General features: G+C 35.9%; 1 protein-coding gene across 2 annotated transcripts in view, besides 1 other annotated feature; it reads left to right on the top strand.

Moving 5' to 3' along the window:
- FGF10 (fibroblast growth factor 10) overlaps window positions 1–20,735 on the top strand; it is an 89,174-nt gene that overhangs the window by 5,453 nt on the left and 62,986 nt on the right. The gene's annotated exons all lie outside the window — the stretch shown is intronic.
- Window positions 13,822–13,991: an enhancer, noted in NCBI's record as "experimental_85945 CRE fragment used in MPRA reporter constructs". NCBI's record gives its function as "activates a minimal promoter by MPRAs in K562 erythroleukemia cells, with activity observed for both the introgressed and non-introgressed 5:44370164 variant alleles {active_cell/tissue: K562}" and the evidence as "EXISTENCE:reporter gene assay evidence [ECO:0000049][PMID:34662402]".

The raw sequence follows: 20,735 nt of genomic DNA, 5'->3' as shown, positions 1-20,735 counted from the left end.
CCAGGACTAGAGCTTATTGTAGGAAGCTAAATGAAGTGAGAAAAAAATAATTGTTGAGGAAAATAGGAACTCAGAAGTGATCTTCTAATAACGACACAAGAGTTTTCTGTGAAGAAAAACAATTTATGGCTTCCACTGGTATCTTATTTCAGTTGTGGTTGTTTCTAGAATTTGGTTGCATAATTTATAACCGGCAGCATTTAATCACGAGCATTGAGGATTTATGAAGGTGGAAGACACTGTATTTAATGTTTACATGACATTGTCCTGTTACCTTTACTGCATTCCTACCATATGGACCCTCCACTTTGATGGATTTATCATAAATCTATTAAAAATGCACAATTCAAGAGAGTTTCCTCTTCATAAACCTGATTTATAACCTCCTACGAGGAGAAACCTAAGGAAACAGTTGTCAGGAATCAGATGCCCGTATTGGAGCATGAGAATTCAGAGACACCAAATTCTAGGTCTTGGATATTTCAGTAACCTATTACCTAAAGGTGTGAATGACTCTTTAAAAGCAGTTGTTTTCAAAATGATGTTTAGGCACAGAATTTTAACAAAAGAAAAAGAAGTAGAAGAAGCGTGTCTTATAGGATCAAATAAACTCCACTGTCTTCATAGTTTCTTCTACATTTATGCTATCCAGTTTAGAGTGAAAAGCTTTATTCCAGTGCATTTCTTTAGAATTTAAAGAACTGATAGTAGAACATGAATGAACACTTTAAATTTCTATACAATTACTTTAATGTCCAGAAGCAAACCCCATTTATTATCCAAATGTCTAACTTTCCACAAGCCAAAATGTTGAAAAAAAGTTGACAGCTCATTTGAAATGGAACTAATGTTCCTCCCATTTATGAGCTGCCTGTGAATAACTACATCTTTCCTAAGCCTTAATGTCTGTATGCTTATCTGACATTGTAGTGCAAATGATATTTCTTTATTATGCTTCAGAAAGAAGAGTAATATATGTGTATTAGTTCAAAGTGATTTTAATCTATCTTAACATTAATTCTGTGAACTTTGCAATGAAGAGTAATTCAGATGACATTTTTAGTATTACTGTTCCAACATCTGTCAACATTTATAGTTGATGTTTGCTTAATATAAGTAAAATATTAGAATTTTCCTTCCAGAAATTATAAATCTATTTTATTTTACAGTAAGATGGAATATACAATTCATGTTTATGTAATTTTAATACAGTTTTATCACAATATAGACAAGTAATCAACTTCATTTTGTCTCAAGTCATTTATGCAGAAGGATTTAAATCTTTCATGGTATATTGCAATGATCTAAGATAATTTACATTTGACATTTGACCAAGGGTGTTTATTACTTTGTTTCACAGATTTAAAACATTATTTTGTAATCGGCACTCTTTCTTCTCAGTGCATGTTACCTTTATCTGTGTCAGTCAGTCAGTACAACAAAGAATAGCTTAGAAATGTACTTTTAAAATTTGCGAAAGGAAATATACCTGCATCTTGGAAAGCCACTAGTGACACTCTGATACTGAATTAATGAATACAAAATGTTGATGTTTTACAGAATCAGTTTAAAACCCAGTACTTAATTTGTATAGATTTTACACAAATAGAAAGTTTCAAGACATCTAAAAGGGAGCCAGGTCACCCACAAAATAATGACCTTAAAGGCTCCCTTCCTTTTAAATCAGATCAATTGTGTTCTTTCTTTGAACGCTGTGTTCTAATTGGCACAATACATCAAAGAAGACACTCAGAGTAGATTCCCATGTAAGGTGGACAACTGGACAGTGACTTTTTACTGCCGCTAACACGTGCATCCAATTACTATCTGATAGATTCATAGTGCTGGCAGTAAAGCATTGCCTTATTTTATAGTTCACCTAATAATTCTTCAACCTAAACCTGTCCACCTTTACCTATACCCATTCTGTCAGTATGTGCATTATTAATGAATAATTTTCAAAGTTTTGGCATGCTTCCTGCAAAGAATGATGTCATTGAGCTCTTAAGGAATCATCTAACCCTAATAGAAGGCAAAGTATTGATTAACTTGATATACCCCAAATTTCAAAGAATTGTCAACTAAACCTAATAATTGCACCACAACTAGAACCTAATTCTGAATAGGGTGGGTTAAATTCCATCTAATTCTGAATAGTGTGGGATTGCTGCAAGATTTAGAACTTTTTTAAAAAGGTATTTTTAATGTTTTTCTGTAATTATTATTACTTTTCTTCAAGGACCTTGTGTTAACATGCTTTACTGATAAGCAGACATGTTATTTCATCCTTAACCTTTTTTGCTCCTGTGTTGAGGACAACTTGACATGTTCATAGAGTCTTTACAATTCAAGGCTCATTGACTTCTTTCTAATAGCTTTGTTTTGAGTTAGTCTGTGACAACCCTGCTTCTGAGCCATTGTAAATCCCTAATAGTTTATCGTCCCTTCCTCACTCCATTATTTTCACCTTCTTGGTTTTGTGTGTGTTTTTTTTTTTATTACTTTTATCTGGTTTCTGAACTGGCTACATACCTTTAAGCCCAGGGAAAGTCATTCATTAGTATTACTTGGCACCCAAGGTGACATTCAGGGCCAGAGGCCTAGACATTTTCAGATGCGTAGCATCTAAAGCTGATAGTTTTGTTTTTATTTTGCATAAAAATCTTCAATGGTGTAAATTCAATATACTCCATCAGGACCGTCTTCTCATTTCGATTCTGCAGTGAATTCCTTCTTATCCCAGCATTCCAGGTCAATTTCTTTTAAGCTCTGCTGTAAGTGAAGTGGACAAACCACTGATAAGCCCCCTTCAGAGTGCTGATTATCCCATTACTAGATCATCATTCTGCATTTTTCCTCCAAGTTAAATTTTTGCTCCCAATAACTCTTCCTGCTTTTCCTATTTTCTTTTAAATTATTTGCATACATAACACTTACTAGCTACTTTGCCATTTTTCTCACATTTTTGCCTTTGTCTGGGCTACCATGAAAGAAAGAAAGTGAAGATGATTTTGAAGACAGGGTCTCACTCATGATCACAGCTTACTGTAGCCTCAACCTGCTGGGCTCAGGCGATCCTCCCAAGCAGTTGGAACTGCAGGCATGTACCACCCTGCCTGGATAATTTGCTGATTTTTGTTTGTTCGTTTTGTAGAGACAGGGTCTCACTATGTTGCCCAGGCTTGTCTCAAATTCCTGGGCTCAAGCAATCCTCCAGCCTCGGCCACCCAAAGGGCTGGGATTACGGGTGTGAGCCACCATACCCAGCCTGAACACTTATATTTTTCTACTTTAGTTTTCATTTATTTTAAAAAAGATGAATGCTGATTTGGAGGTCTTTGATATTCCCAACTTCCAGAATGGCACTTAGATTATCAAGCTTCTCTGTGTACCCCTGTCAAATATATGTGGCTTTTAAAAATAAAACCTAGGTTCTCAATAAAACTTTTTAAATCAGGAAACAATGTAAAATAGGTATATGTATGTCAGGTGAAACAAATATAGAAATACGTATGCCTTTACTAGGAATTTTTGAAACACCAACAGGAGTTAGAATCTGAATTAATTCCATAAGTGTTTTCATATACTTCTAAGAATTTTTTGGCACTGATTGATGAATTAGATTTAAGTCTATCATATGCAGAATCTGACTATTGACATATGTTAAATTTATGTTTTAATAATAATAAAAGTCAAGCTTGTTTTTACAATTGTTTCCAAATTTTAAGTAACTTTAATTTACTGATAGAATTATTAAAAGAAGAATTAATATTCTGTAACATGGGGTAAATGGTAACATATGGACACTGATTTACATACTATTGATAGTCTAAAGTAAGATACCTTTATAATGGTATTCATAGCAGTAATTACCAGATTTTGGGTGTCATTTTTTGGGAATATCTCTGCAGAAGGATATGATTCCACAAGTATTAAAGAAAAGTGCTAGTGATGTTAATCACATTATAGTATAAAAACTTGATGAACAAAAATAGTGTTTTAGAGCTCAAATATGCTGACGTCCAGGAAGCAAGAGAGACGGTAAAGATCACATAATGAAATTTTTTAGAAGCCAGAGGGAAAAGTAGAAAAAGAGAAGAGGCCCTAGAGTGTTTAGACACATACTGTGAAAGGAGGAGGAGATGCTTTGCTGGAGTGATGAAGACAAGGGTTTTGAACTCTCAGGAAAGAGATCAAGCTAATGAGTAGCACTGCGAAAGGGCTGACATGACAAGAAAGGTGTGAGGGAAATATAACCCAAGCCCTGGCATTCAACTGGATGTTAAATTAACTGAAATGAGAACCTATGATCTAAGAGAAGTCCCACAGAAGTCATCGCAGCCAGGCTATCAAAGTAAGGAAAGCTAAGTCCCAGTTCCTGCTAAAGAGGAGGTATGATAGAGTGATTAAAAGTATGGGCTTTGATTCAAAGGGATAAAAAGTATAGTCCCGGAGTGAAAGCAGGCTTTGAAGCCGCAGACCTGTAGGCAAACTGCGAGGTAAGAGTTGATAACTTTGGGCAAGTTGTCATCAGTAAAACAAGGATATTAACAATACCTACCTTTTTACTACATGGTAAAGATGAAATGAGATCGTATATTCATTCATTGATTCATTCATCTGAAATTTGAGTGCTTGCTTTGTGTCAGATAGTGTGTGAGGCACGAATAAATGCATTGTTGAAAAAAGTTGGTCTTTCTGCTCTCATAGAGCTTACACTCTCCACAGATAATGTCAAAAACGTTAACCAAGAGGTGATATGATGAAAAATTGAAGTGAGTGTTATCAATGACACAAGTACAGTGTTTTAATAGAAAACAACTGGGAACTACCCCAAAGAGCACTGCTAGAGAAGCCTTTTGAAGAGGTGAGAAGGGAACTACCCCAAAGAGCACTGCTAGAGAAGCCTTTTGAAGAGGTGAGAAGGGAACTGCAAAGGGAGAGTTTGGTGCCTCATTCAAGAAGTACAGAGAAGGCACATTGAGGCTGGATGTGGCAGAAGTTTGAAATCTGAATTGACACACACACAGCTTAATGGTGCCTGTCACATCATAAGCCTTAATCAAAAGGATACTATATGAAGAAAAAGTAAATACGATGCTTCCTCTTATTTCAAGGGGAAACATCAGGAAAGCAACAATTATATTATTCGATGAAGTGGAAATTAACAATGCTGGAATTGAGGAAAGAGGCAGGAAGGAGAAATATACTTGGTTTTTGTTTAAAAAGGGAAATATCGGCCAGGCGCAGTGGCTGACCCTGTAATCCCAGCACTTTTGGAGGCCGAGGAGGGCAGATCATGAGGTCAGGAGATCAAGACCATCCTGGCTAACACGGTGAAACCCCGTCTCTACTAAAAATACAAAAAATTAGCCGGGCGCGGTGGCGGGCGCCTGTGGTCCCAGCTACTGGGGAGGCTGAGGCAGGAGAATGGTGTGAACCCGGGAGGCAGAGCTTGCACTGAGCCGAGATTGTGCCACAGCACTCCAGCCTGGGCGACAGAGCGAGACTCTGTCTCAAAATAGAACTACCTGAAATTTGATTTGGAATTGTAATATTCATACTGTTCTGAAGTTTTGGGGAAAAAGTTAGAGGCCTGGTTCTTTAAGAAATTGGTAGAAGAAACAGATTGAGCACTTCTAATCCAAAATTCTCAAATCCAAAATGCTCCAAAGTCCAAAACTTTTTGAGTGCCAACATGATGCCACAAGTAGAAAATTCCAAACCTGTCCTCATATAACAGATCACAGTCCAAACACAGGGGCACAGTTTATTCAGCATCCCCAAGGGGAAAAAAGACCCTCCCATCCCCCTTCAGCTGCTGTTGCTTAACAGCTGATACAGGTATTCTGGTGATGCTACTGTGCTGCCTAGTTACCCCCAACACATGATTTTTTCACTGTAATAGTGGTATGTCATGTTGTTTACTCTTAAGTACTTATGTATGAATAAGTGTAAGAAAATGATTGCTTATCAGTAGCATTTAAATTCAGAGTCAGGAATGATGGTGATGCCAAACAACCACAGATTACCTACATCAACGGCTAAGATAGTGACATCTTTGCTTTCTGATGGTTCAATGTATATGGACTTTGTTTCATGAACAAAATGATTTAAAATATTTTAAAAAATTACTTCCAGGCTGTGTGTATGTAAACCACAAATTAGTTTTGTGTTTAGACTTGGGTCCCATCCCCAAGATATCACATTATGTATATGCAAATATTTCAAAAACTGAAAATTCCAAAATCTGAAACCTTTCTGATCCCAAGCATTTCAGATAAAGGATACTCAACCTGTATTTGAAAACTGAAGGTAACTTGAGGAGAGAACAAGGTGCTTAAAATAAAGAATAGAAGATGAATATTTTCAAGGACACAAGCTGTAAAAGGTTAAAAGAAAGAAAAAAAGAATAGCGAAATAGGTAACCGTGGAGATTTGATGACTATAGAATAAAAGGCAACAAAGAAAAGTAATTCTTAATTTTTAAATATTTCAGAATAAGTCTTATATTTCAACTTACAGTTTCGAGACAGCATTATCACAGATACTTAGTTCTTATTAAACTTGGTAGTTGTTTTTTGTTTCTCATCCTATTACTGTGACCTTTTTGGCTCATACCCTTAAAGCATTTGTAGTCTAGAAGTAGAAAGAGGAGATCATCACAGGGAGTTGGAAGAGCATATAAGGCAGTTTCTACTCAATGCCAAGAAGCAGGGCAGAATTTAAGTAAACAGCAGTCTCTAACTGAGGGAGAGATGCATGACATCAGGAGGTCACACTGAGGATAAGGGACTCCAGCTAGACAGAGATAAAACAAGAGAAGGAAGAATATTCTAAACGAAGGCACATAAGTGTGTGGGTGCAGAGTCAAACATGAAGTTTTCAGGAAATCACAGGGAGGAAACAAAGTTTGCATGCAGGTGGGCATCTTCTGACAGACAAAGCAAAGTACAGTAGAAGGTGGTATCATGTGAGAGGGAAGTCTGTAAATGTATCCTTACATTTGCGGATCTAAACTTTCTGGCAAAATATTACATTGACATGATTTTTATTTAAACTTGCCCTTTACTTTTTTTTTTCATTTTTACTTTTTGAAGTAAAAAAAGAAAGAAAGTGGAAGAATATTTCAAAAGAGTATTATCTATATTATAATTGACAATCTAAATATAGTAAGTAGCAAGAAATTGTAGCTTAATCAAAAGAAAAAAGAACTAATTTTATACTAGGGACATGGAAAAGAAGAGTTCTTCTGCTCTTCACTAAAATGACATTATTCTTCATATTTCTGATTTGCCAAATGATCATTATTTTACAATTTAAAATACTTGGAACTTCAAAAGTTCTTAATATGTATATTTCACTGTGAAGAGGTTTTGTAATTTCCAGCAAATCCCCAAAAGGAACACCTGAAGCATCAGTATTTCTTGCTCTAGTTGTGGGTTTTTTGTTTTTTTTTTTTTTTTTTTTTTTTTTTGGCATTTGTATTCTAACTTGTCTTAGATTTACTTGGTTTAGATAATCAGAAAAAGAAACAAAGTATGCTAAACTTCTTTTTCTGGAAAAGGAGTACATGTAAGTGTTTTTTAAACAAACTAGGAGAAACATACAGACAGCATATATACGACTACACCCCCCTACTGACACTATGAGCTCTTGAGTCAGACTTCTTGGTGTAGAATCTGGGTTATTTATAAAACTTCATAGTTGTGTGATCGTAGCCAAGTTACTCCCTGGGTCTTGGTCTCTGCATCTTTTAAGTTTAGATAAACCAACCTCACCACTGTTGGAAGAATGAGTCATAAATTTACAAATGATACTATAAATGTAAAGTTGTATTAAATATAGGACCTAACACCATGTAAGAGTTTGACAATGTTAGTTCTCATTACTCTTTTATGCCATGACTGCTTGTGTTGTTACTAATTATTCCATTATGTGAAAAATTCCCTAAATCATTGAATAATAAAAACTTCAGCAGATTAATGCTTTCATCAATTGATTCTCAAAAAAATTTTGTAATATGGGTAAGATCATCGTTGTTATACCCATACTATGTTTAGATGAGAAAATTAGGCCTAAAAGTTATTGTGCCAGACTGACATTATAGAGTTAACATAATTGAGGATAAAACCTAGGCCAGTCTTAGTGATGGTGATCTTCTATCTTTGCTTGCCTGGGACAGTCCCAGTAAATGTCTCTTGTTCTGGCATTTTATTATTAACACCTGTTCAGTCTCAGTGTACTATCACAAGACCATCCTAGTCTTAATCAGTGTGGTCTATGTAAGGCACAAATCCACACAAGCTAGTTCCCTCTTAGATACTACTACATTCCATCACATCCCATGTCATATGTCATATAATATCATGTAATCTCTATATTCCTTCACATGTCATATAAGACCCTCATGATTTACTCCCTACCAACTCCCTGGCCTCGTTTGTTACTACAGTGCCCATTATAGCTATTTTATGTTGATTTCAGTTCTAGAACCTGCCTTGTCCCTTCCTGTTCAGCCTTGCCAGACACTGCTAGGTCGGCCTGGAATGATGTCCCTGCCCTCTTTCCCAGCTCTTCTTCTTTTCAAATTTCACTTAGATGTCATCTCTGGGAAACCTTCCTGCTGTCCTCTCAAAACCTGTGCTTCCAAAAACCATATACCTAGCATTATAATGCAATACCACACTTGATTAGTTGACTGTTTACCCATCTAGTTTCCTCATAAACAGAAAACTTGTTGAGAGTGAGAACCACACCTCACTGACTTTTACATGCATGCACTTAAGATAGTATTTGGCATATAATAAGTCCTCTTTCTATATATTATTAGGTAAATAACTGCTTTTAACCATATGATCTTGGTCAACTTACTTAGACTCTCAAAGTTCAGTCACCTGGTCTGGAAAGGTGATTAATATGCTACCTACCTAAAATGATGGTTGAAGTAAATTAGCTCTTAAAATTTCACTTAGTTCTAAGTTCTACAATTCTGAGAACCTGAAAAATAAGTTAGTAGGGCTATCATTATTTAAGAGACTGTTAAGTACTTAAATTCATTAAAATTTCTGAATTAAAAAAATGTGTAATCATGAAGTGAATCATTTTTCATGTTTCTCTACTTTTCCTAAGGTTACTACTGATAACATTCAGTGGGGATTAAAAATTACTTTATCCCCTTTAAAATTCCTGCTGACTATGAGACAGTTATTTCTAGTTTCAGAGTTGTGTTTATGGATTCTTGGATAATTTGGTGGTTATTAAAAAATGAGCAATTCTTAGTAATTATTTTAGAGAGGAAGAATAAAGTGCTGTAAAGAGTGGGAGTAAAGGGAGTGGTCTTGTCTGTGTCAAAACATTTACTGTGGATCTTAAGCAGGTCATTTACTTTATCTTGGCCTCAGAGACTTAATCTATAATATGAGTGTATTGAACTACATTATTATTAAAATATTTTAGTTTAGTATATTTATTTCACAGACTAAGGACCAGATTCCTGGAGTGTACCTATATTAGGAAATAAAGCTATATTATGCTGAATAATGAGCACCCAAAGACATCAGGTTCTAATCCTGGAACCTGTGAATGTTACTGTATTTGTAAAGTTTTTGCAAATGTGATCAAGTTAAGGATCTTGAAATGAGGAGATTATTGTCATTGTCCAGGTAGGCCCTTAATGCCATCACAAGTGCCCTTATAAGAGAGACACAAGGAGATTAGACATACGTAGAAGCACAGAAGGCAGAAGGCATTTTGAAAATGGAAACAGAAAGATTTAAAGATACAATGTTGTTGTCTTTGAAGATGGACAAAGGAGTCATGAGCCAAGGAGACTGGAAGAGGAAAGGAACAGATTGTCTCCCTAGAACCTACAGAGGAGTTTGGCCCTGCTGACACCTTGCTCTAGGCCCAGAAAAATTGATATTGGATTTCTAGTCCCCAGAACATTGAGAGAATAGATTTATATTAGTCTAAGACACCAACTTTGTGGTAATTTGTTGCAGAAGCCATAAGAAACCAATACAGATATGGTACTTAGAGCAGGGTCCTGCTGTAACTCAACCTAAAAATGTGAAAGTGGCTTGGGACGTGGACAGTGGACATAAGCTGGATGGATTTTGAAGCACATGATAAAGAAACCTGGATTTCTTTAAACAGACTTCTGTTAGAAATATGAGGATAAAAGGTGCTAAGGTGAGGATTTAGGAGGAGGTGTGAGGCACAGTAGAGAATGCCTACCTCATTTAGAGAATACATATAACATCATAAACAGAAAGCTGGTGGACATATTAATATTAACAGTGCTTTTTTTGAGGGCTCAGAAGGAAATTAAGAATATGTTATTGAAAACTAGAAGAAAGGCAATCCTTTCAGCTACAGAAATGTAGCTGAACTGTGTTCTACGTTGTATGAAAAACAGAACGTGTAAGTGATGAATTTGGATATTTAGCTGAGGAAATTTCCAAGCAAAGTGTTGAAGGATCAGCCTGGTTTCTTCTTCCTGTTTATAGTAAAATGCAAAAAGAAGGAGATAAAGTGAAAAAAGAACTGTTAAGCAGAATCAAAATAGCACTTGATGATTTGGGAAATTCTCAGCCTATCCAGATTGCAAAAGATGCTAAGTTGGGAGATTCACTGTTAGGAAAGCATGCTCTGAAGAGAAGGCTAAGGGTACGACTAGACAACCTTATGATAGTGCTGAAGAAATGAAACATGTGATGGATGGATTCCCTCAGCCACCTCAGCAGAAGTCAGGAATAGAGATGAGGTTACCTAGGAAAGATTTGTAGAGAACCCTCTCATGGCATGAATCCCTGTGACATACATGGGAGGACCACAGAGTTTTTGAGAATGTTGTATCAGCAGAAACACTGCCAGCTGGAACTAAAATAGACAAAGACAGAGCAAGTTGAAGGAAGGCTGTCAGACTCCCAAAATTCTACAGGCAAGTTGATAAAACTATTCAGCTGCAAACACATGATAGCTTTAAAGAAAAAGGATCACCATGAGTGCAGAGCCTTGGGTACAAAGGAAGTGCAGAGGCATAGAAGCAGAGACTCTAGCCATGTGCCCTGAGGCAGGACCCTCAAGTCACAGAGGCTGATTCCCAGGCCTTGAAACCTAGTGGAGTTTACCCTGCTGGATTTTGAAATTGCTTGGGACCAGTGACTTCTTTCTTCTTTACATTTTTCTCCTTTTGGAATAAGAATGTTTATAACTGTTATACTACGCTTGTTCTACCATTGCATTTTAGGAACTGATAACTTTTTTTCTAGTTTTATGGACTCAGTAATGGAGAATAATTTTGCCCAGGATAGATCATACCCAGAGTCTTATCCATATCTGAATTCCATTATTTACATTACACAATTTGAGATTTTTGAGCTGCTGTTACTTAAATGAGATTTTGGGCTTTAATTTAGGTAGGATACAGAAGGCTGAATAATGGCCACCCAAAAATATCAGGCTGTAATCCCTGGAATGTGTGACTATTACCTTATATGGTAAAGTTTTGCAGATGTGATTAAATTAAGGATTTTGAGATGAGGAGATTATCCTGGATTATTCAAGTGGGCCTCATATACCATGACAAATGTCCTTATAAGAGAGAAGCAGAGGGAGATTAGATGTACACACAGAAGGCAGAAGATGATTTGAGGATGGAAGCAGAGATTTGAAGATGCTACACTGTTGGCTTTCAACATAGTGGTAAGGCCATGAGCCAAGGAATGTGGCCAAGGAATGTGGCACCAGAAGCTGAAAGAGGCAGGCAATGGACGCTGTCCCCTGGAGAGCTTCTAGATGGAATACAGCCCTGCCAACACCTTAATTTCAGCCGAGGGAAACAGATATTAGAGTTCTGGCCTCCAGAACTGTGAGAGAATAAATTTCCGTTGCTTTAAGCCATCAACTTTGTAGTAATTTGTTATATCGGCCCTAGAAAAGTAATACAGGAATCTAAGACAACTTTGTGCAGCCCAAATTAAGGATAATTTGACAAAAACAAAGCACTATCTTGTGGTAGATAGTACTAAGCATGGACTCAAATAGATGTAAGTTCTAACCTCTTAACGAATGGTGTGAGTCAGAAATGTCTCTAAACTTTTGTTTTCTCATTCCGTCTATGAGGATTAAATGAAATAATCTATGAAAAGTATCTAGGAAAGTATCAGGCTTATAATGGAACCTCAAATTTTAGTTGAATCTAAAGGGATAACAAATTTAGTTGACTATATGCTTTTAAAACGTTATTTTAAAATATAGTTTATTTGCTTACAATACCTTGACTGCTAGGCACTACAAAAGCAAAGGGCTTTGGTTGTTTGATACAGAACCTATCCATAAAAGTAGCCTGTTTTTCCTTTGGGCGATACATTCAATCTGACTTGATTAAAGGGTTTCCATTAACCTGGCCCAAAAGCCCCTTTTCTGAAGATAGGCGCTAAACCAATGGGAACCTTTCCTATTTAAAGAAGCCCCTTTATATTTAAAGGTGAGAGAAGACCAATTTTTAAAAATGGGTAATTAGTGTTGCCTTAGTTCATTTTCTGTTGCTTGTAAGAGACTACCTGAAACTGGGCAATTTATAAGAAACAAAGTTTGTTTCTTATACTTCTGAAGTCTGAGAAGTCCAAAGTCATGGAGCCGCATCTGTTGAGGGTATTCTTGCTACTGTGGACTTTCTGCAGGGCACCGTGGCAGCAGAGAACATCACACATCAAAGGGGCTGAGTGTGGTAGTTCAGGTTCCTCTTTCTCTTCTTATAAAGCCGCCAGTTCTACTCCCATTATAATCCATTAATCAATTAATCCATCAATGAATTAATCCAATCATGAGGGCAGAGCATTCATGAACCAATCACCTTTTGGTTCCTGGTGCCATACTGGGGATTAAATTTCAAAATGAATTTTGGAGGGGACAAATATTCAAACCATAGCAAATGTAATTAAATTTCAGTAACTGGTACATTCTGAAGGATTTTTCAACATTTATGTTGACATTACTGTGTATTTACTCTTTGAAACTAACATCTTTTATCATCTATCTTCTCTCACTATGTGTAGATTTCCTTTAACATCCTACCTTTAAGCCTCTCACATCTCAAAATGTTTCCATAATACATAGTACAACTCTCCTAAAATTTATTAACATCTTTGTTTACATCACTTGAATTTTTATGGCTTGGAAAAAAATAAGATTCTAAAACTGGCATTTCCTCTTACAGAAAATTTGTTTCTCTCATAGTAATAGGGGCTATGAAGTTAGAGACAGCAGACAAATGTTTTGTTGTCAAGTCTTAGGGTAATGGAGCTTTTATGGAGCTGAGGCTGACTGAAACAGCTGCTAATTTAGAGTGTTATGGAGCTTACTTCTTTTTCTCCTCAACACTCTTTGTCTACTGAGTGCTGGGACTATAGTAATTTGAGAAGAGAGATGATGGTTGTGATATTGGGAAAGGTGGTGCAATTAGGAATGGGGCTCCAGTGCAAGGGAACGAGATAAGAAATGTGACCCAGGATTACCTTGAGCACAAAGAGCACATGAGGATCAATTCTACCAACCCCAGTGCCATTCAAGGATTTTTACTTATATTATCTGAGACTAGGCAAATAAATGCATATGTTCATTCCAATCCCCAGGAGGTTTCTGAAACTTTCTTAGAGATAGAATGCCCACAGATAAGAGTTGTGCATTCTGATTTGAGATCCATACCCTACCTATTTCTCTTTATAAGAAGATTCTTTCTAATGAGCATTTAGAAAACAGGCTTGGAGAAGGAGAGGAAAGCCAGATTGGAAATAGGTAGTAATAACAGGCAGTAATAGATATTTCTCAAACTTGGGTCTATGGACCACATGCTCAGAATGAACTAGTGTGCTTGCTCAAAATGAAAATTATAAAAGTCTCATTCTAGATGCACTGCACACAGTTGGCGGTGGAGGAGGGGGGCAAATATGTTCACACATAGAAATCTGAACTTTAATAATCTCTAAAAAACAATAAAATTAAGAGTAACACTAAATTAAGTGTAGAGGTGATGGGAGGAAAGGACAAAGGTCTTTTGAGCTTGAGATAATCTGAAAAATTTGGCAGAATGAATTTCATACACATATTCCAGGTTTGCACATTTTGTATTTTTGCACATATTCTGGAAAGGGAGAAAGTTCCAGTATATTCTATAAAAAGGGGGTAATTTTTAAAGTAAGTTAAAACACATGCTTAAGTTTAAATGCTCCCTGTTTGGTGAAAGAGATTTTCTGATAAATCTGAGATTAGGTCAGTTTTCAGCTCACTCTTGTAAGTGTCTGAGTGCGTGTGTGCTAAAGCTGGAGGGAGGGAAGAGAAGATATGATATTCATCAAAAGCTGGCTGTTTTCTCACCATGTCAGAGTGCTCCGCCACTGCTATTTATGAGGAAGAGCTGGGGATGCTACACCAAATGACAGTCGTGTAAACAAACTTTTAGGGATTGAGAGCTCTTCCCTTCTTCTTTTTTAAGCCACAGGAATTTATGCGTATGTGCGTCTAACCCCAAGAGTGTTGGCGGGAACCTAGCCCTCAAAGTGATCACTTGAATTTGCAGCCCAGCCTCCAAAACTGGAAACATGAAGAAGGAATATTGACGAGATTCTATAGTTTCCTCAGGAACCATCTTTTGAACTCAAAGAGTTCTTTAATGTCTTATGGTTTATTGAGAAAAAAGTCCTCTATTGTGAGAAATTCTTTCCTTCAGCTGTGGAGATTATTTGAGTTTCAGTTCCTGTAGATGACCTTTTCTCAGACGAGTGAACTGGGACTACAGTCAAAGCTGTGACTCTGTCCACCTTGGGTGTTTCATGAGTATACAAATTATAGGCTCATGTCTATGTAAGTGACATTTCTTTATACCTACAAAATACACATAATACCAGATTCATATTCCATATAATTCATGGAATATCTCCTGTAAAGTCATAGGAAACATGAATATGAAAATATTAATAAAGAATTGACCACATGGGCTGGAAGCAGTGGCCCATACCTGTAATCTCAACACTTTGGAAGACCAAAGCAGGAGGATTGCTTCAGCCCAGGAATTTGAGATCAGTCTGGACAACATAAGGAGACCTCATCTCTACAAAAAATAAAAAAAAATTAGCCAATCATGATGGTGCTTGCTGGTAGTCCTAGCTACTCGAGAGTCTGAGGCGGGAGGATCCCTTTCACTTAGGATGAGGCTGCAGTGAGCCCTGATGGTGCCACTGAACCCTAGCCTGGGCAAGAGTGAGACCCTGTCTCAAAAAAACAAAACAACAAAAAAATTGACAGCACAATACACACTGACGCATTTTTCTTCTGTACAGATTTTTAAAAATATTTTTTCTTCATATCAAAGGCTTCAAAGTCATTTAATAAGCTTGACCTATAGTTTCAGCTGAATTTAGCAGTATGTAACCACTGACAATGGCCATAACTAATTAGTCTGAGATGATTATTGTACTGAACAACCTAAAGTAGTGTGGTTGGGTTTTTCACAGTCCCAAAAGACTTCATGGAGGTGTGGAGGTTTGAAATTATTTGTTATATGCGGTGCTATGTTGTATGAGGCACTTAGCCAAAGACATCTTTTTCCTAATGTTTTGTGCTCCAAAGAAGGCATCAAATTATTATTAAAGAATCTGAATTGCATACTTCCAATTTTACTCATTGAAAAATGCCATCCATCAATTGTCTTATTATATATTTTCCCCTATTAGTGACTATGATTATAGATAGAATAGAAATATATTGCCTCAGTCCTAGACCATCCTACCCTCTCATGTCCTTATTAGTGACTGGCACTCTGATTGAATTAGTAAAATTTTAAATTAGTAACATTGACATTTTGTGAAGAAGCAGACTGGGGACTAGAAAGGGAAAAATTAGAATTTGGAATAGGTTGTTATTAAAGTCATATTTTTATAGTCTGTTACATTAACTATAAAAAAATCCTTGTTTCCCTATGTTGATCTTGGGCAAGGTTTTGAGGCAATTCAGTTTTAATCAACATATGTGTTCTTTATGTGCCACTGTGTTTTTTTTAAATTACTTTGTGTATTAGCACATTACATTTAAAAAACAGATAGACTTAAAAAAAAAAAAAACAGCATACAAAATTTTCTTAGGCAGCATTGAATGATTAATGCAAACTGGGTGAATGGTCTTAACTACTGATATCTAGCTCCTGGTTTTAGATATTGTTTCAGTTCTGTTTTTAGAATAGGAGAAAATAATAATAACTAATGATATTGAATGCTTAGGCCTATGTACTTTATATGTACACTCACTTAATGCTCAAAACAATCCTAGAGTGTGGATACTAGGTTATCCTATTGTACTGATGGGAAAATTTGAAGCTACTGAGAAGCCGAGTAACTTCACTGAGTAGTTAATAATTGATGAGACTAGGATTTGAACCCAGGTAGTATGGCTTCAGTTCCTGTGCACTTAATCACTAAGCTATTGTGCCCTTTGATAAGATGCAACTAGTCTAATTTGAAATCCTTCAATTAGACAGAGGCAAATTAGTCACTATGCTACATCAGCAAATTAAACTTTATAGCTAGAGGAAACTTCCATAGAGTATTCTGTGCTTTCTTGACAAAGTTTGCCTACATAAAGAACAAAAAAAGATCTCTTCTTGCCATCTACAAATGTTTACCTGCAGTTAAAAAAGTCTGGCTCCTGACCACTTTTATTTTGAAACTCCTGATGGCTAAAAAAGAAACAGATGAAAAAAATGGATTTTTTTCAGTAGTTACTTTTCAAAGGATGATAAATGGAAACATTTAAAAAATACTTTTATAGTGTGAATTCATTTTCTATCAGTTCTTTCAGTTTGAAATTTCTTTTGTTATTTGTTTAATATCAAAGATTTTTAACCTTCTCACATATGAGGAACACTATTTATTTTATTTTCTTGCAGTTTGAGAAATATTTGTCTTGATGCCAAACTGCCTGAAGACATACTCTTTTACAAAGAAAGCAAAATTTTAAGAGAAGTTAACTTAGGGTTGCTGACATTTATTTTCTTCTTTATTTAATCTTCCCATAGTTCCCAAGTTCAGAACTTGAAATATTATCTTTATTAAAGAAAGTATTCATATTAAACTCCCACATCTATATGTAGCCATTTTTAAGTCTAAAGTATAAATTAAAAATTATCCAGACACTATCAAATAAAATCCCCATCTTAGCAAACGCTTTTTCCAATGAATTTCAACCAAACTAACCTAGAATCAGCTTTTGGCGAACCTTGTACTAATGGAAGATTTGCTTTTTTGCTTTTGAAGGCAAATTGATATTCACAAATCATATGTCACAAGCCACTAAAAGTGTCAGAATCCCACAGCAGGCCCTTGGTAGCTTGTTAATCTCTCCTGTTTAAAGGAAACAGACTAATTCACTTAAATATAATGAAAGCCATGCCTGCCCCAGCTTAGTCCCTTAAAGCGTCAGCCCATACAAGTCCTGCCTTCTTTCTTCACCTCCTTCTTTCCTGGCTCTGACAATTAAACATGAAACTAAGAAGCAATGCTTTCCTTAATGTTGCCATGTCTGAGTTATTTCAGATGTCACATATGTGAAAATTGTGAAAATGCAGGATGCCTTTAAAAAAAATTTTCATTGACAATATATGCAAGGGGGTATCCTTGCCCACCTTTCACCATTGTTCTCAACAAAGCATAAAAGATAAATCAGGATGTTAAATGCAGGGACCAGATGTATATATAACCTTTTGCCCTCATTATTCTAATTGGTTTCCATTAGGAGGAGGGAGGGAAAAGTAAAACAGCAAAAAAAAAAAAAAAAAAAAAAAAGGAAATAATTGATATAGAGGTGAGAGAGTGAACTTTTAACATTGGATTGGCTAAAATCTGGGAATATTATAATCAGAATAATAGAAGAGCAATTTCAAAAGATCAAATCAAAGGTGATTCATATAACACCAATAAATGGGGAGGAAATAATTTATCTTAATTTTATGCGCCCAGAAATTTTCCAACTGTGGTCAGTGGTGCCCCAACTATATTATTTTTAACACTTCTCATATTTACATGTATTTTTGTACTTTGAAGGAAGAGCCAAATGTTCTCTGACTCTTATTGCCCAGATACACACAATCACATTTGTGGCTAACTATATTTGTATTTAGTTCTCCCCCTTCTAACCATGTGCATTTTCCCCTTTTAGTAGCATTAGCTATTTGTGGTTCTCCACACTGAAATGAACTGTAATATGCAGTAAGGTTAGATCTTCCAATCAAGGACTTCAGTGGCAAAGGACCTGAGACTGGGATGACAACAGAGTCTTACTTTCAACCTAAGTCTTAATCAAAGCGTAGAGTCATAAGATTGAAAATCTGGAGTTAGGGCATGTAGGGGAAAAAACCATTTTCATTGCAAGCATACTGTACGTGTTAGTCATGGCTCAGACTGCAATAGGAATTTTATGGAGCAAGAAAGGGGAGGTGCAAGAAGAAGGTTTTGAGTTTCCTACTAAATGTATTTTTAAATAGCATTACAGCATCAGGATTTATAAAGAAAGAAGCAATAACAAAAAGGAGCTTTTTACCTCTCTCTTTTTTTTTTTTTTTTGCAAATTATTTGAGGATGAAATTGACCACCAGAAAAGAGACATGAGGAGACCAAAAGGAGCTGACTGATTAAAGAGTGAGCTCCTGAATGTGGCAAAGTCTGGAATCCTACAAGACAACCTACCAAAGCCTGTTGACAGCTCATCTTGGGGTATAAAGTCTGAGTGGAGGTCTTAGGTATGGAAGGAGCTTTCAGAGGTCATTTAGGTCACTTCAATCTCTCTCCACAAATCACACTCTTTGTTATTTTAGACAGCTCCCAACCATGCCGACATTTTACAGTAATAACTATAATTGGAAACTTGACAGTATCCATTAATTTCCAATTCTAGTGTTTGGCTATACCTATTTTTATCTATATATTTTTTAACTCATATCTCTTATTCTCTCATTTTAGCTCATTTTGCCTTGGTTTCTCCTCAGTAAGCATGAGAAGTAATTGGGTTTAAATAACTTACTTAAAATCTTTACATATTCTATGTGAAAACCACCTACACAGATAATATTATCAGATTTCTATCTTGGTTTCCTTAAACTCAAAGGATTCACACTGTGTTTCAATTCATTTTGATACTTTATTTGGTTTACAGGATCATTTTACATGTATGATGTTATTTAGTTTTCACCATAACGCCATCAATTAGGTAGCATATGTGGTAGTATCTTCATTATGTATGTGAGAAACCTCATCATATTTCACTTAAACTAGAATTCTCTTTCTTTGATTTCTAATCAGTAATCTTTCCACTGCACTATCATATTAATCTTAAATAAAGATTTGTTAGCCACAGCACTATTTCGAACCAGGTAATTCTTTGTGGTAGGAGCCTGCCCTGGGTTTTGTAGCACATCTAGCAGCATCCCTGGTCTCCACCTACTGAATGCCAGTAACACCTCCCTCCCAGTTGTGACAGTCAAAAACTGTTGTAGGCTGAGGAATTGAAAATCTGACTATATTTGGAGAATAATTGCATTCAATTAATATTGAGTGTCATGAGATTCTCTAAATATAAGATGTGCATCTTCCTGTTAATATACATAAGATTGCTGAGTTATCATTTTTTTGATTATGACAATGCCTGTCACCTCACAGAGGATATCATCCAATACGTTTTCTTAATACGTCTAAGGGCTTTGGTTCTCCATCAAAAAGTAATTTTCCACTTTTGCTTTAAAAAGAGTCACAGTAAGAAATGCTATTTCTTTTTTTCTTAGAAATTTAATTTTCAAAAGAAGAAAATGTAACTCAGATGGGTTTTGAAAGTCTCAGCCACCTCAGCCTTGGTGGATAGCCAGGATCTCAGCCCTGGTGTTTTCTTTCTTTTTTTATGGTGGTCCCTGAGGTTGTGAGTGTCTGAAATATATAGTGAATTCTACAATGCAATTCAAATATAAGGAAGTCTTGTTTATTACCAGGTGCAAACTTGTTGCTTCATTACCATGTGATCCAGGGCTATCTTATTTGTGTAACTGAGGTTATAGGAGAGATATCAACTATGAAGGAAAATGTATGTGGAGACCAAAAGTGTATATGAAATAATGAATAATTTCACGTGAATATGTAGTTAGTGATTGCCCACCTTCTAAGTTAAAAATAGATTTCTTAATGACATAGGACAAATACCAGGTTGCTGAAAGTTACTTCTTCCATATTGTAAAGAGGCTGTTTCAATGAAGAAAGATATTATCAATGACCTTATTGGAAAGTCACATTTAAGGTGGGTGAATCCTTCATGCTCTATTTTTGCCCTTCAACAAACATATCTTTTTTGGTGCTTCTTGAGTGTATAAGACATTTCATGGGAAGTTTCAAACTCTGTGAAATTTGCTTGTACAAATAACAGAAAATTTAGAGCATAAAGCTTTGAAATGTCTTTAAATTTTCCAATCTATGTTTTGAAAATTACTGTTGAGTTCAAGAATGCCTAATGGCTGAGTCCTGTTGCTTCACTGTAAGTATAATTGTATTTCCTTATGAAGGTTAAAATTCCCATTTCATTTCTTCCATTTATCTAAGTTTCCAGGTGTCATTCACAATTAGCCATTAAAAATGATTGTGTTTAATTGAGATTTACCAGTGGCTTTAATACAAGTTTTCACTTAAAGAGCAGTTATGTTT

Source organism: Homo sapiens, chromosome 5 (genome assembly GCF_000001405.40).
Source record: "Homo sapiens chromosome 5, GRCh38.p14 Primary Assembly".
NCBI classification, from domain to species: Eukaryota; Metazoa; Chordata; class Mammalia; order Primates; family Hominidae; genus Homo; species Homo sapiens.
This window is presented reverse-complemented; position numbering and strand designations above follow the sequence as displayed.